At 49.0% G+C, this 15,267-nt stretch overlaps 1 protein-coding gene across 1 annotated transcript in view; it reads right to left on the bottom strand.

Moving 5' to 3' along the window:
* ARHGAP40 (Rho GTPase activating protein 40) overlaps positions 1-15,267 on the bottom strand; it is a 48,845-nt gene that overhangs the window by 18,771 nt on the left and 14,807 nt on the right. The window contains exons 2-5 of the mRNA NM_001164431.3: positions 8,325-8,524; positions 4,668-4,888; positions 2,881-2,956; positions 2,233-2,381 (exon numbers count right to left, since the gene is read on the bottom strand). Of these exons, the coding sequence (NP_001157903.2) occupies positions 2,233-2,381; positions 2,881-2,956; positions 4,668-4,888; positions 8,325-8,524 (646 nt within the window). The remainder of the gene's footprint in view (positions 1-2,232; positions 2,382-2,880; positions 2,957-4,667; positions 4,889-8,324; positions 8,525-15,267) is intronic.

Below are 15,267 nucleotides of genomic sequence, written 5' to 3'. Positions count from 1 at the left end.
TACGTGGGAGTTCTGTTTTTGCAACTTGCTGTGGACCTAAGAAAATTCCATTTGAATGAGTGAAAGTACTCTCACATTGGAATAGAGGCTACTGCAGGGGGTGGGGTTGGTTTCCTAAGCAGTAGAGAGTGGTGGTCAGTTGGGAAGGCTCCAGGGTCAGGCTGCCAGGTGTTCCTGTCCTGGCCTTTGTGGGAGCCAATTCTGTCACTTCTCCTCTCTGAGCACCATGATATGGTTTGGCTATGTCCCCCGCCAAATCTCATCTTGAATTTCCATGTGTTGTGGGAGGGGCCCTGTGGGAGGTAATTGAATCACGGGGGCAGGTCTTTCCCAGGCTGTTCTTGTGATAGTGAATAAGTCTCACGAGATCTGATGGTTTTAAAAAGGGGAGATTCCCTGCACAAGCTCTCTTCTCTTGTCTGCTGCCACATGAGACGTGCCTTTCACCTTCCACCATGATTGTGAGGCCTCCCCAGCCATGTGGAACTGTAAGTCCATTAAACCTCTTTCATGCCTTTATCAGCAGTGTAAAAACAGACTAACATATGCCACTTCTCTTTTTTTTTTTTTTTTTTTTTAGGTCTTGCTCTGTGGCCCAGGCTGGAGAGCAGTGGTGCAATCATAGCTCACTGCAGCTTCAACCTCCAGGTACAAGTGATCCTCCTGCCTCAGCCTCCCAAGTGGCTAAGACTACAGGCCTGCACCATCACACCTGGCTATTTCAAAAATTTTTTGTAGAGATGGGGTATTGTTATGTTGCCCAGGCTGGTTTCAAACTCCTAGACTCAAGCAATCCTCTCGCCTTGGCCTCCCAAATTGCTGGGATTACAGGCGTGAGCCACTGTGCCCGATCCTACTTCTCTTTCTTTCTATCATATAGTCAGGGAGCAATGAGGGCACTGGAAGCCTTGGGAACAATGCCCTGGGCCAGGGCAGCCCTCAGTAAAATGTTACCTAAGATTGCATCGACTGCATCATCACGTGGTCAAAGAAGAAACACTTCCTTTAGTAATAGAGGGACTGTGAAAGACTATATTTACTCCATGAGAGAAGTCAGAATAGTGGTTATTCTGCAGGGAAAGGAATTACCTGGGAAGGGCATGCGGGCACTGAGGGGGTGGTGGGGTAGGAAGTTTCTTTCTTTCTTTCTTTTTCCATATTACAAGCCATCAAGCAAGGGAGGAAGTTTCTGTACTCATTTGTTGGTATTTACACGGGCATACACACCAAGCTGTACCTGGTAAATATCTGTGCACTTAACAGCGAGTTATAGTTCAATCTTTAAAAACCTAACTATCAATGATTACATCCTATTTGGAAGGAACTATGCTGGGATAACTGAATATTTTGGGAAAAAAGAACGGCCAGGTGCAGTGGCTCACACCTGTAATCCCAGCACTTTGGGAGGCTGAGGCTGGAGGATTGCTTGAGCCCAGGAGTTTGAGACCAGCCTGGGCAATGTAGGAAGAACCTAACTCTAAAAAAAATTTTAAAAATTAGCTGGGCATGGTGGCATGCAACTGTAGTCCTAGCTACTTGAGAGACTGAGGTGTAAGGATAGCTTGAGCCTGGGAGGTTGAGGCTGCAGTGAGCTGGGATGGTACCACTGCACTCCCGCCTGGGTGACAGAGTGAGACCTTGTCTCAAAGAAAAAAAAAAGAAGGAAAGAAGGAAAGAAAGGAAGAAGAAAAGGAAGGAAGGAAAGAAGGAAGGAAGGAAGGGAGGGAGGGAGGGAAGGAGGGAGGAGAAAGAAAGGAAAGAAAGAGAAAGAAAAGAAAAACAAAGAAAGAAAGAAAGAAAAAGAAAGAAAGAAAGAAAGAAAAAAGAAGGAGGAGGAGGAGGGAAGGGAGGGAGGGAGAGAGGGAGGAAAGAACAGAACTAAAATATTGGGTCTCTCTCTGTCACTCCAGGCACTAAAATTAATTTTAAAAGTAACTAGAAAAACATGTTGATGGACAGTTATGAGCTTGCTGGAGGAGGGAGGGCTTTCTAAGGATAAAAACAAAGAGCATGGAGACAATACTGACAGGACTGTTAGACTGTAAGCATCCTGCTCCCCAGTCTTGATACCCAGCGGTCACTCAGTAAATATTTGTGGTACGAATTAAATGAATGAATGAATTAACAACTTTTGTGCTGGATGCCTGTCAGTGTGGAAGGTGTGAAGAGATGGGTGCTGGTGCCTGAGCACAGGGGGACCTAGCCAACCAGCCCTGTGGACAGCATCCTCACCGGCAGGGAACACTTGCCCCAGGCAGAGGTGCCTCCCCGGGATGGCCTGCTCCTCTGCAGGAGCACCGCAGCTTGTTCTGAGTAGGCAGAGTCCATGTTGAAGGCTTCTTCCCTCCCAGCCTGCTCCTGCAGCCCCCCAGGCTCTGCTGCTGCGGGGCGGGGGAAACAAAGCAGAGAAAGGCAGTGAGAACTGGCTGCCAGGAAGCAAGTGCTTGGGTTCGGGACTTAGGCCCTTAGTCCTAAGAAGTGAGCTCCCAAGCTCAAGTTCAAAGCCCCAGGATCAAATCATTAGGTTTAGGGCTCAGGCTCATTGCCCAGGAAGTGATTTCCTAGCTATGGCCCATTGCCCCCAGGAAATGATTTCCTAGCTAAGACCCTCACTGCCCCAGGAAGTGATTTCCCAGCTAAGGCCAATTGCCCAGGAAGAGAATTTTCCCATCTTGAGCCCCATGGGCCTGATGGCAACAGCTCACTTAAGGGCCCAACCTGTCCCCTCAGGGCTCCTCCCTACTGCCCTTGAGCAGGGAAGGCAGGGAGTCAGCAGGAAGCAGGAAATGCTGGGAGGTGTGCACATTCTCTTACTTCACAGAGCAGCCCTTTATGCAGCCTGGAGGATTCTCAGGGCCCTGGAGAATGAAGACCACTTACCTGGAGGAAACTTAGAGGCCCCGGAACTGAGCTGGGCCCCCTTCATACCGGAGTCGCCATTCTCTGACGACATTTTCTATGCAAATTACAGACAGTGCCCAATTACTCATGTGGGAAGCTGACAATGCTCACACAACCCTGGGAGACAGAAGCCACCCACAACCCCTTTTCACAGATGGAGCCACTGAAGCCCAGAGAGGCTGAGTTACTTGCCCAAAGTCCCACAGCTGCTAAGTCGGGGAATGGGCACTGGGGCCCAAGTCTGGCTGGCTCCAAAGCCTGTGGTTTTAATCACTGCTATGCCACTTCAGAGGTGCTCCAAGAAAGATGATGCCCACAACCTATCAGGCTTCAAGTGTCAGCAGGATACACAGTGACAATAAAAAAGTATTTTGTGCCAGCCGGGCGTGGTGGCTCACGCCTGTAATCCCAGCACTTTGGGAGGCCGAGGCTGGTGGATCACCAGGTCAGGAGATAGAGACCATCCTGGCTAACACAGTGAAACCCCGTCTCTACTAAAAATACAAAAAATTAGCCGGGCATGGTGGCGGGCGCCTGTAGTCCCAGCTACTCGGCAGGCTGAGGCAGGAGAACGGCGTGAACCCGGGAGGCGGAGCTTGCAGTGAGTCGAGATGTCGCCACTGCACTCTAGCCTGGGCGACAGAGCGAGGCTCAGTCTCAAAAAAAAAAAAAGGATTTTGTACTGATAATGAGGTAGGAGGTGGGACTTTGGCTGAAACAAGGAAGAGGCAAAAACACCTCTCCATAAGACATGCCCACAGTGCCATGACAGTTTACCATTGCCATGGCAACACCTGGAAATTACTGCCCCTTTTCTAGACATTTCTGAATAACTCACCCCTTAATTTGCATGTAATTAAAAGGCAGAACTGCTCCTGAGCTGTTGCTCTGGACACACAGCCTATAGGGTGGTCCTGCCCCTGGGCTGCTGTCCTGGACACGGCCTATCGGGTGGCCCCGCTCTGCAGCAGCAGTCACGCCACTGTATTACTGCTGCCTCCATAGTGTTGTTTTCTTCTACCACCAGCTCACTCTTGAATTCTTTCCTGAGTGAAACCAAAAGCTTCCAGAGCTAATCCCCAATTTAGGGGCTTGCCTGCCCTGCATCAATAACAATTATATAGAAAGAACCTAGGCTTTCAGGCTCACCCAAGGACACACAGTGGCAACAGGCATATATGCAGTGGCATGCATGGGAGATGAAGACCTACATGCAACATAGGGACATAGTGGAAGGCAGGGAGACATACGTGTGCAAGCCACTGCACTCTGAATACACACACACCAACACACACACAACACACACACCAACACACCCCCACACACACCAACACACCCCACACACACCCCAACACACACACACCAACACACACACACCAACGCACACCCCAACACACACAACACACACACTCAACACACATACCCCAACACACACCAACACACACACACATACCCCAACACACATACCAACACACAGACACCAACATGCACACACCAACATACACACACCCCAAAACACACACACCAACACACACACCCCCAACACAGACAACACACACACCCCCAACACACATACCCCAACACACACACACCCCAACACACACACCAACACACAGACACCAACACACATACCAACACCCACACACCAACACACACATACACACACCAACACAGCCCTTCAGCAGGATCACTGCATCTCTCAGGCTGTGGCGGCAGCACAGAGATCCCAGTCAGACGGGGCCTGCAATGACCCATATGCCACTTACCCCTGAATTGAAGACCCCAAAGACATCCCTGACATCTCTGACAGGTGTCTTGTGTTGTCTTCGCACTGAGCGAGCATAGATGTCCAGCCGGCGGCACACAGCGGCCACCTGGGTCTGTGTCAGGGTGGACAGGAGCTCCTGGTGATCACCATCCAAGCCCAGGCCACCAAGGAGGCCCGACAGGCCTGTGTCCTGCAGCCACTGGGATTCAGCTTCCCCTTCTGCCAACAGAAGTAGAACCCAGATGAACACACACAGCTCTGCACTCAGCCACTCGTGCTAACCAAAGTTCTGCATAGAAGCACACACTCACCTGGACACAGGAGTTTCTGCATATCTGATCGTGAGACCTATTAACACCAACCAGACTCTCCGGGGGAGAAGATCTAATGAGCCTTCTGAGAACTGGGGGCGGGGTGGGGGGTACTGATAGCATTAGCCAGTGTATGGATGTCAACCCATAACATAGCAATCCCTGGAAAACAGAGGTGGGTGAAGGGCCCTGCATGTTCAGATTTTGGACCCACTTCTCTCCAAAGTAATGAACCCACTTATCCAAAATCTGGCAGAGACCACTACAGGGTCACATGGTGTCCCCTTGGGAAGTTGGTGCTGGGTGTTGATGTCCCTTTGGGAAGTCCTCCATATTCAAGACCTTATTTGTGTTGGAATTGTCCCCTCTACTGTGCTTCCTAAGGAAACTCTCATAGTCCCATAGCAAAACCATTAACTGGAATGGGAGGGTGTGTTGAGATTTCAGGATCTCGGGTCTTACCTCCAGGGATTCTGTTCCAGGAGTTCAGGCCTCGGGCCTGAGAATCTGCACTTCGAATGTCTTCCTCAGATTATTCTAATGCAATAGGGTCTTCAGACCACACTTGAGAAACACTGGCCTTATCATGGGGGAAATGGACAAGAGCTCTTACTGGAAATTGAACACATGTGTGAGAGGATTGGTGGGGTGTACAGTTGTACCCAGTGTTGACCCAGTTAGTCAACAAGGTAATAAGTGTTTTAAAAACTCAAACAAAACTGCTTTTATGGCAGCCTGGGTTTTGCAAATAATCCAAGTCTTCCCCCAACACTTTCCCTGCACTTGGGAACCAGAACAGATGCCTCCAGGGCAGTTGCAATGTTGTGGGTCCATTCCTGACTTGTGCTGGCTGGTGGAGGTACTGATTCTATCATGATGCCAGACATTTTTTTGTTTGTACAGGATCCTTTCAATGAGCCACTGTTTCTTGAAATGTAGGCATTCACCAACCACCTTTATAATTTTTATCTGTATCTAATTGTCCCTGTAAAATTCCTTACCAAATATATCCCCTTAATCATGGGCTACATTTTTTACTAAAACACATCTATTTTAAAAGGAAACAAGATCCCCACCATAAATGGAGCATCCAACATCACCTGCCATGAGTAGACATTGATGGGAAAAATAAATTATTAACAATCCCTCTGGTTCAAGTTGGTGTCCGAATAAAAAGAAAAGATGACCAGGCATGGTGGCTCATGCCTGTAATCCCAGCACTTTGGGAGGCCAAGGTGGGCAGATCACCTGAGATCAGGATTTCAAGACCAGCCCGGCCAACATGGCGAAACCCCATCTCTACTAAAAATACGAAAATTAGACGGGTGTGGTGGTGAATGCCAGTAGTCCCAACTACTTGGGAGGCTGAGGCAGGAGAATCGCTTGAACCCAGGAGATGGAGGTTGCAGTGGGCTGAGATTGTGCCACTGCACCCCAGTCTGGGTGACAGAGTGAAACTCCGTTTCAAAAATTAAATAAATAAATAAAAAGAAAAGAAAGGAAAAAAAAAAACCAGTCTTGGCTCCATGCCACTCAGGATCCCTCAGCCCTGTGAGTCTAAAAAAGCTCCTGTGTTTATTTGGTTGCTCAAAGTGGCTTCTCTCTGACCCACTCTGACTCCACTCCCTGTGTATTGTGGGAAATTAGATTGCTGGCCACATCATGATTCCAGAGAGGCCACATGGAGGACCTCCTATGCAGGGCATCTCCTGAAACCACTTCTAGTGTAACCAGGGATGTTTTTACATTTACACTTGGAGGCACTGCATGAGACTATTAGGCCCTTAGGAGGTCTGCATCACCACGTGGTCTGTTTTGCCAACCAGGGGCAAGCCCAGCTGAATTACATGCCAAACCAGGAAGGGTTCCATGTGGAGCCCTTTCATTCCCTCATCTGCTGAACAAGTAAGGATGGAGGAGGGGAATGTGCTTGGCTCTGTTCTAGGCACTGTGGACACAGCAGTGAAAAGGGCCGATGATGTCCCTGGCCTCATGGAAGTTACATTCTAGTGGGGGTCACAGACACATGCACAGTGAAGTGCACTAGGTAAAGTCAGGCAGTGATCATTGCTGCAGCAACGAACAGAGTAGGGCAGGGGCTAGAGAGTGATGGGGCAGGGGTGCTATTTTGTGTAGGGAAGCTGGTGAAGACCTCTCTGAGGAGGTAACATTTGAGCCCAGTCCTGACTGGAGAGAACAAGCCATGCAGATGCCTGGGGCAAGAGCATTTGAGGCCAAGGGAGCAGAGAGAACCAAAGGACTTGAGGCAGGAAAGTGCTTTTAGGGTCAAGGACCAGCAAGGAGGCCCGAGGACAGAAGTAGAGTGACAGCCAGTCAGGGTGGGAGGAGAAGAGGCAGAGAGGAGGCACGAAGCCAATTATGTAAAGCCTGGTAAGTTATGATCTGGTGGCTTTATTACACGTCCCCAAATTCTTTGACTCTCACCCCATCAAGGGGTGGAGTCTAATTCCCCTCCCCTTGAACATAGCTGCATGCAGGGTAACAGAATGCAGCAGAAGCAATGTTGTCTTTCTTCTAAAGCTGGGTCATAAGCAGCAAGACAGCTTCTACCCAGCTCTCTCTCTTGGTCTTGTGCTTGGAACCCAGCCGCCATGCTGTGAGGAAGCCCAGGCCACATGTGGAGGCCTCATGCAGGTATTCCAGATGATAATCCCAGATGAGGCCCCCTGATGGTCACATCCACCACCAGGCACATAGATGAGAAATCTTTTGAGATGAGTCCAGCCCCAGCTACCATTTGATTGTAACTGCATGAGAGGCCCTGAGCAAGAACCACCTAGCTGAGCCCACTCAACCCCTCCAACAGTGAGGTATAGTAATAGTCATAATAATTGATTATTGCTGCATTATGCTTCTAAGCTTGAGGTGGTTTGTTACATAGTAGTAGATAATAGGGACACATAATTGTCTATTACTCTGAGATAGATGGAGAGATATTTGAGGATTTAGAGCAGAGGGCTTAGAATTTCCCTAGAACATTAGGTCTGTATATAGGAGACTGTTTTGTGTTCACTGTTGTATCCCCAGTGCCTAAACAGTGCCTGGCACATAATAGGCACTCAAAAAATATTTCCTGAAGGACTTACTCTAAGGAGGGACATAATCTAATTTACATTACTAAAAGATCGTCTTGACTATGGCATGGAGAACAGACAGTAAGGATCACGGGTGAAGCAGGGAGAGCAGTGAAGAGGATACTGCACCAGTCCAGGCAACAGAGAAAATGCTGTCATGTTCTGGTTCATATCTGGATCCTCTGACATTTCTCTGCCTGGAATCAAGCCCTCCCACCACCCCTATAGGCCCCCGCCAGGGTCTCTCACCCTCTGGAAGCTGGCCTTCATTCCCGCCACTGTCCTCTTCCCTCAGCTCATCTCTCTGTTGGATCTGTTCCACCTCCATCCAAAAGCCATCCATGCTGGAGCTCTCCACTCCAGTGGAACAGCCAGCAGAGCCAGCAGGGTGTAGTCGCAGGAGATTCTTCTGGGGAAGCTGATCCATTCGGCCTGAGGAGGGGCCAGAGCTGTAGCAAGTGGGGAAGGTGCAGGGAGGTCAGCAAGTCTCTGCTTATGATGGGGGTTGTGCTGAGGCTTGTGGCTCTCCAGAAATCAGCCTGGGCCCCTGGGGGCTAAGCAAGCTTCCTAGGCATGTTTCTCAGGGTGATCTCAGCAAATTGACTGGTGACCCATCACCCCTGCGGGATCCTTGGAAACCAGCAATGCTGCAGGGGACAGAGCAGGGCCAGACTGCTCTGCTTGCTTCCACCTTCTTGGTCAAGGCTAACAGTCTTGGACATACCTACGGTAAAGGCAGCATTCCCAAGAGGGGATTAAACACCAGGACAGGCGAGGAAATGACAGGGCAGTGTCTCGTGGATCTCACTGAATTTTTACCCAGAAAGTCTCCTGTCTCCTTCCCTCACACTTCCTCCTTTGTGAGTCTGGCTGCCAAGCCCTGGGTCTCCTGTTTGTATCACAGGAGCACCTCATCTCCTCCCCTCTCCCAGCCAGCTTTGAACAGAGCAGGTACCTGATCACAGAGGTGCTATACATCACTGAGCCAATCTCATTCTCTCAAGGTGTTGAACCAAGGGCAGAGGGGTCAGTATCAGGCACGTGAACTGGAAGCTGTGTGGGGCTGGAGTGGCCAGTCTTCCAAAAGAAGCAGAGAGGAGACCCTCTGCAGGCATGGAGGGATGTGGGGTAACCTAAGCTTGATTTTCCAGGTCCCAGTTGCAGCCTTTCATGATCCAGGCTATGTGGTTTACCCCTAGAGCCCTGACTCCCACATCCTTCCCTTTAATCCCCCTCTTCTTCCCAAGCTACACTCAATGAATTTCTGCTTCATGCAATCAAAGAATCTCAGGGTAAGACAGTGCAAGTCTCCTGGTCCATATAAATGAAGTCCAGGACTTCAGATGAGCTTAGGGACAAAATGTCCCTGTTGCTGGCCCAAATCCTTGAGAAATGGTAGGGTTGGTCATAATGGCAAAAATACTAGACTGGAATCACCTAGACCCTGACACATGCCAGCAAATAGACCATAAACTACCCCTGCCAGAAGAGAGGGAAGAAATCCATTTCCCCAGTTTCCTCAAGTGGGAAAAATGTATATTCTGCAAGTTCTATAGATATTTAAGCTCCCATGTGGAAACCAACAAAAGGCAAAGAAAACCAATAAACATAGGTGGTTTGAACTGCCCTATTAAAAAACAAGACTCATTTGGATTAAAAAGGAAAAGTCATCCACATGCTGCCTTTTTAAAAAAAAAATATATATATATGTGCTTTTCTGTTTTTGTTTGTTTGTTTGTTTGTTTTTGTTTTTTGAGGCAAGGTCTGGTTCTATGGCCCAGGCTGGAGTGCAGTGGTGCGATATGACTCACGGCAACCTCCGCCTCCCAGGCTCAAGCCATCCTCCCACCTCAGACTCCTGAGTAGCTGGGACTACAGGCACACATGACCATGCCTGGCTAATTTTTGCATTTTTTGTAGAGACAGGGTTTTTGCCATGTTACCCAGGCTGTTCTCGAACTCCTGGGCTCAAGCAATCCGCCTGCCTTGGCCTCCTAAAGTACTGGGATTACAGGAATGAGCCATTGAGCCCGGCCTTAAAACATTTTTGTTAGCTATATTTTCCCTTATAAAATCAATATGCAGTTATTGTAAAAATTCCCAGCAATGCAGAAGTGAGCAAAGTAGAATATCAATCATTCTCCTGTGGCTACGACCACGTTTTCCATGCTAACACTTTGGTGTGCAGACATCTCATGTTTCTCCCCAGGCATATTTAACCTAAAGGCAGGCACTCTCTTCTTCACTCAGGGGACATTGTTTTGGGCTCATGTCAGCCAAGACACAGAACTCAAGTCCTCCACCAGCCCCACAAGAGTCCCATGCATGCTAAGCATTTGATAGCTCTTTGCTGAGGAGCTGGATGCTCACAGGAAGGTCCCCCACACAGCGCATTTATTTGAAATATCCCCATTTCCTTTTGATGGAGATTTGGGTTGTTTCTATTCATCAATATCACAAATAATACCATCTGTTACCTTTGTTCCTTTGTACAGTAGAAGAGAATCCTAGAAGTAGAATTGCTGAATCAAAGGGTTTGTGAACTCTTATCACATTGCCTCTAAAAAAGGACTATTTTATTGGATGTTTGTTTGTTCTGATTTTACCCCTGCTGCCTGCTTAGCCCCCATCTTGTGGGATCCCATCCCCTGGAGTCCCTGAAGTTGTATTTTGCCCTCAGCCTATGACCTCACTCACTGTTGTCCCCCCAGTTTCTGGAGGTGTAATCCAGGACCTAGGGCCGGCTCCATGGATGTGCGACCTGTGCAGTCACACAGGGCCCAGGTTTGGAAGCAGCCCACACTTCGTTCAGAGAACTGCTGTCACCATCTCAAAATTCTTAACAATGTTTGAATGAGGGACCCATGTTCTTTCTGCACATGGCCTTTCCTGCCAGGATTTTACCGTAGACCCTGGCTTGTGGCTTCCTCTCAAGCGTCCTGCCCACACAGAGCTCAACTCCGAGTCCTAAACAATTCCATCCTGAAACAGACTCAAAATGTGGTAAAGCAAAGAAACCTCCAGTCGGCCAGAGCCTGAAGGAAGGGACAGGGCACAACCTCCTGGCAACGGCTCCGGCATTTGCACAGAGCAGAAGCTTCACTGGAGACCAAGTCCCAGTTAATTATAAAATTGGCTGTTCTGCTCTATTTATGCTTTTCAAGAAAACTGCCAGTCAGTGCCTCCTGCGAATCTGTTTGGCACCCCATGCTGGGGGCACAGCTCCGTTTCTTTGGTTGCTTTGCGATTCGCTTTGAAATTACCAGCATCTGTGTGTTTTCGTGACAATTTGAAAACTGCAGCGACTAAACCCAAGCAAAATTGTCAACACTATCACCATTTGATAGCTAAGCAGTGAGGGGGCAGCAATTATTTCTTTGGAAGAACATTCTGAGGAGGTCAGAGAGGGGAAAGAACAGAAACAAAATGAAACACCCGCAGTGCTAAAGGTGTCATTGTTCCAACATCACATTTTGCAGCATGGCGGTGAGTACCCCCTTCTAGGAAGAGAACGATAGGAAGAGAACGCATCCACAAAAGGTGTTCAGAACCTCACAAATATAGCTGATGTTTTGTTTGTTTTGTTTCCAGCGCTTTGTTGAGGTATAGCGCATGCAGAAAAGTACTCAGGTGCTAAGTATACAGCGTGGCCTCCAGTTGTAATTTGGTTTTCAAACCTTTACTGAATACCTACTACATGCCCAGGGGCAAACATGTTCAAGCATCAGTTTATTTCTTTTTATTTGGAAAGGGTCTTGCTCTGTCTCGAAGGCAATGGCGCGATCATAGCTCACTGCTGCCTCGAAGTCTTGGGCTCAAGCGATGCTCCCACCTCAGCCCCCCAAGTAGCTAGAATTATAGGCACATGCCACCATGCCCAGTTAATTTTTCATTTCAGTAGAGACGAGGTCTTGCTATGCTGCTCAGGCTGCCCTTAAATGCCTTGACTCCAGTGATCCTCCCAAAGTGCTGAGATTCCACATGTAAGCCATCAAGCCTGGCCAAACCTCAGTTTAATACATCAGTGCCATGTAGGGGTGCTATTGTTTCCAACTTACAGACAAGGAAACAGACCCAACGGGATTGGGGGACCCACCAAGACTTGTCCCATTGGCAAGTGACAAAGCCCGGATACGAACCCAGGTTGAAAGCCCCACTACCAGGGCACTTAACTGCCATACTAGATGATTTAGGGAGGCCCCAGGTGTAAATGAAGTAATCTGAATGCATTTTTCCTTCCCCACTGTAGACACTGTGCCCCTCTCAGAGTTCCCTGTCTCATCAGATGGTTCCATCAAGCACTCTGAGAGCCACTCCTCACACCCTTTTTGGTGTCTCCACATCCCATGAACCCCTAATGAATGTTACCTTTCATACAACATTTCTATCCACCAACTTCTGAACCACCACTCTGGTCCAAGCCACCATCACTTCTCGCCTGGACCACAGCCTCATCGCAGTCTTCCCATGTTTCGTCTAGATACCCTTCTCTGGTTCAGAAAGATCTTCCAAGCTCACAATACTGGCCTTTCACCGCATCTAGGAATCCTCATGGTATCCCAGGACCCTGAGGATAAAATCCAAATGCCTTACGAAGGCATTGGACTGACCTGCCCATGCTTCTAGCCTCGTCTCACGTACCTCCTTCTTCCCTCTGCCTGGAATGTCCTGTCTCAGACTTAAAGTCACTTCCTCAAATACAACCTTTCTCATCCCTAACCTGGATTACGTCTCTGCCATCTGCTTCTCCATAACACATTCATTTCTGCTGGAACTATTTCTTTCTTGGCTTCTCTATTCCCTGCTGTCTCCCCAGTGCCTAGAACACTGCCTAGAATACAGTAGTTGTGGTGGATATCACGTATGGTCCCAAAATTCTTTTACAGTCCTCCCATGGGGAGGTGGGGCCTATGTCTCCTCCCCTTGAATCTGTCAGGCTGTGACAGCTTCAGCTAAGAGGACACAGCAGAGGTCGAGCGATGAGACTTCTCTGTCTGGTCATAGTGACCAAGCTGATCCCACCTGGCTCTCTCACTCTCTGCTTGCTCCTTGGAAGGGGTTGCTATGTTGAGAAGCTCAGGCCAAGTGCCAGGTGACATGCAGGTGCCCCAGTCAACAGCCCTAGCCGAACCTCACCCTTGAATCATTTGAGTGTAGGTGTCAGACACATGAGTGGAGAAACTTCCAGACAGATGGCTCCAGTCCCCAGCATGAAGTCACCCGCAGCCATTCAGTCTTCCCAGGTGATACCCCAGACATCATGGAGCAGAGAGCAGGTATTCTTGCCCGCTCTGTCCCAATTCCTTACCCATCGAATCGCTAAGCGGAATAAAATGATGGTTGTTATGTGCCACTAAGCAATAGATAAACAGATTTGTAAATTTAGAAGTCAAGAACTTTGGGCTGGGTGCGGTGGCTCACACCTGTAATCCCAGCACTTTGGGAGGCTGAGGTGGGTGAATCACAAGGTCAGGAGTTCAAGAACAGCCTGGCCAACATGGTGAACCCCGTCTCTTTTGTATTTTGTAAAAAATACAAAAAATTAATGGGCGTGGTGGCGGGCGCCTGGAATCCCAGCTACTCAGGAGGCTGAGGCAGGAGAATCACTTGAACCTGGGAGGCAGAGATTACAGTGAACCAAGATCGCACCACTGCACTCCAGCCCAGGTGACAATGTGAGACTCCGTCTCAGAAAAAAAAAAAAAAAGTCAAGAAATTTGGCTCTAGTGTCAACTGGGTCTGAATTTGAATCCTAGATTTGTTGTTTATTAGCAACGTCACCTTGGGGAGTCCCCAAACCTGGCTGGACCTTAGCTTCCTCATTTTAATATGAAGCTAACAGAGACTACCTGGGGCAGTGTAGTGTAAGAGCCAATTCACTCATTCAGCAAATGTTTATCGAGCCCTTACTATGGCCAGTTACTAGGAAGCTAATACACCTAAGGTGCTTAGAATAGGAAGTCCTCAGTCAATGTTAGTTTGATCAATATATGTTGCTTCTGGACTCTTCCTATCTGAGATTCAGACACAGCAAGTGGCTCACCCAAGACTGCCCAGCCAGTGAGTGGCCTCTAGTTCCTGTCCTGCAGAGTGGGCAGGGGCTTACAAGCACAGAGCATGAAGAAATATATTCCTGCAGTGAGTCAGAGGGCCGGAGCCCTCACAGAGGCTTAGAGCCTTCCTGAATGCAAAGCCCTTCTCTCCACACACATGAACTTTCCCCCTAGGTGGCCTGAAAGATGAGGCAGGTCCTAGAAGTCCTCGGCTCCCATCCAAGCTCCCCTGCTCATGTTCTGTGCAGCTGTGGGCACGTCCCTTTTTCTCGATGGACCTCAGCTTCCAAGTCCATAAAATGGGAAGACAGGGGTAGAGAAGGGGGCTTTGCAAGGTGATCTTAGCGAGACCCTTGCCCGTGAGGTCATAGCAGGCAGTGAGAATAATATGACAGTGGAGCAAAGGCCTTTCCCAAGGGCAGGGCTGCAGAAACCCATGTAAAGCTGAGAGCCACAGAAGCAAGAGCCTGCTCAGCGAAGCCGAGAGCCTGTTCAGGGAAGCCGAAAGCCAGCATGACCGAGGGAGCAAGAATGCGGGCCATCGGGATGAGTCGGTGGAGGTGTGGCTGAGCCTCCTCTCCAGCAGCCAAACCAGGTCAGCTCAGCCTGGACCTGCTGGGGCAGGGAGCGTGGCCTGGCTTCAGCAACCCAGCCAAGGGCTTCCCCCAAAAGTGGTGAATAGGGCTTTGGGGGCAGCCTTCAGTTCCACCGAATCTAGGAAGTGGAGGTTGCAGTGAGCCGAGACTGTGCCACTGCACTCCAGCCTGGGCAACAGCGTGAGACTCCGTCTCAAAATAAATAAATAAATAAATAAATAAAGTTCCTCAAGCTCAGTACTAACAGCATGTCAGGAGGATGATTCTTTGCTGTGAAGGAGGGCTGTCCTGTGCACTGTAGTAAGTTAGCAGCATCCCTGCCCTCTACCCACTAGACGCCAAAGCATCCCTCTCAGTTTTAACAATGACAAGGTCTCCAGACCTTGCCAAATGTTCCCTGGGGAACACCATCATTCTGGCTGAGAAACACTGCTTAGCATGGATTAATTCATTTACTCTTCACAACTTCTTATCATCCCATTTCACAGATGGTCAAACAGAGGCACAGCGATAAAGTGACTTCTGCAAGGTTACCTGACTAGT

The sequence above is a fragment of the Homo sapiens genome, chromosome 20 (assembly GCF_000001405.40).
Source record: "Homo sapiens chromosome 20, GRCh38.p14 Primary Assembly".
Lineage (NCBI taxonomy): Eukaryota > Metazoa > Chordata > Mammalia > Primates > Hominidae > Homo > Homo sapiens.
Note: the sequence above shows the minus strand (reverse complement) of the source record. Positions and strands in the feature narration are given on the sequence as shown.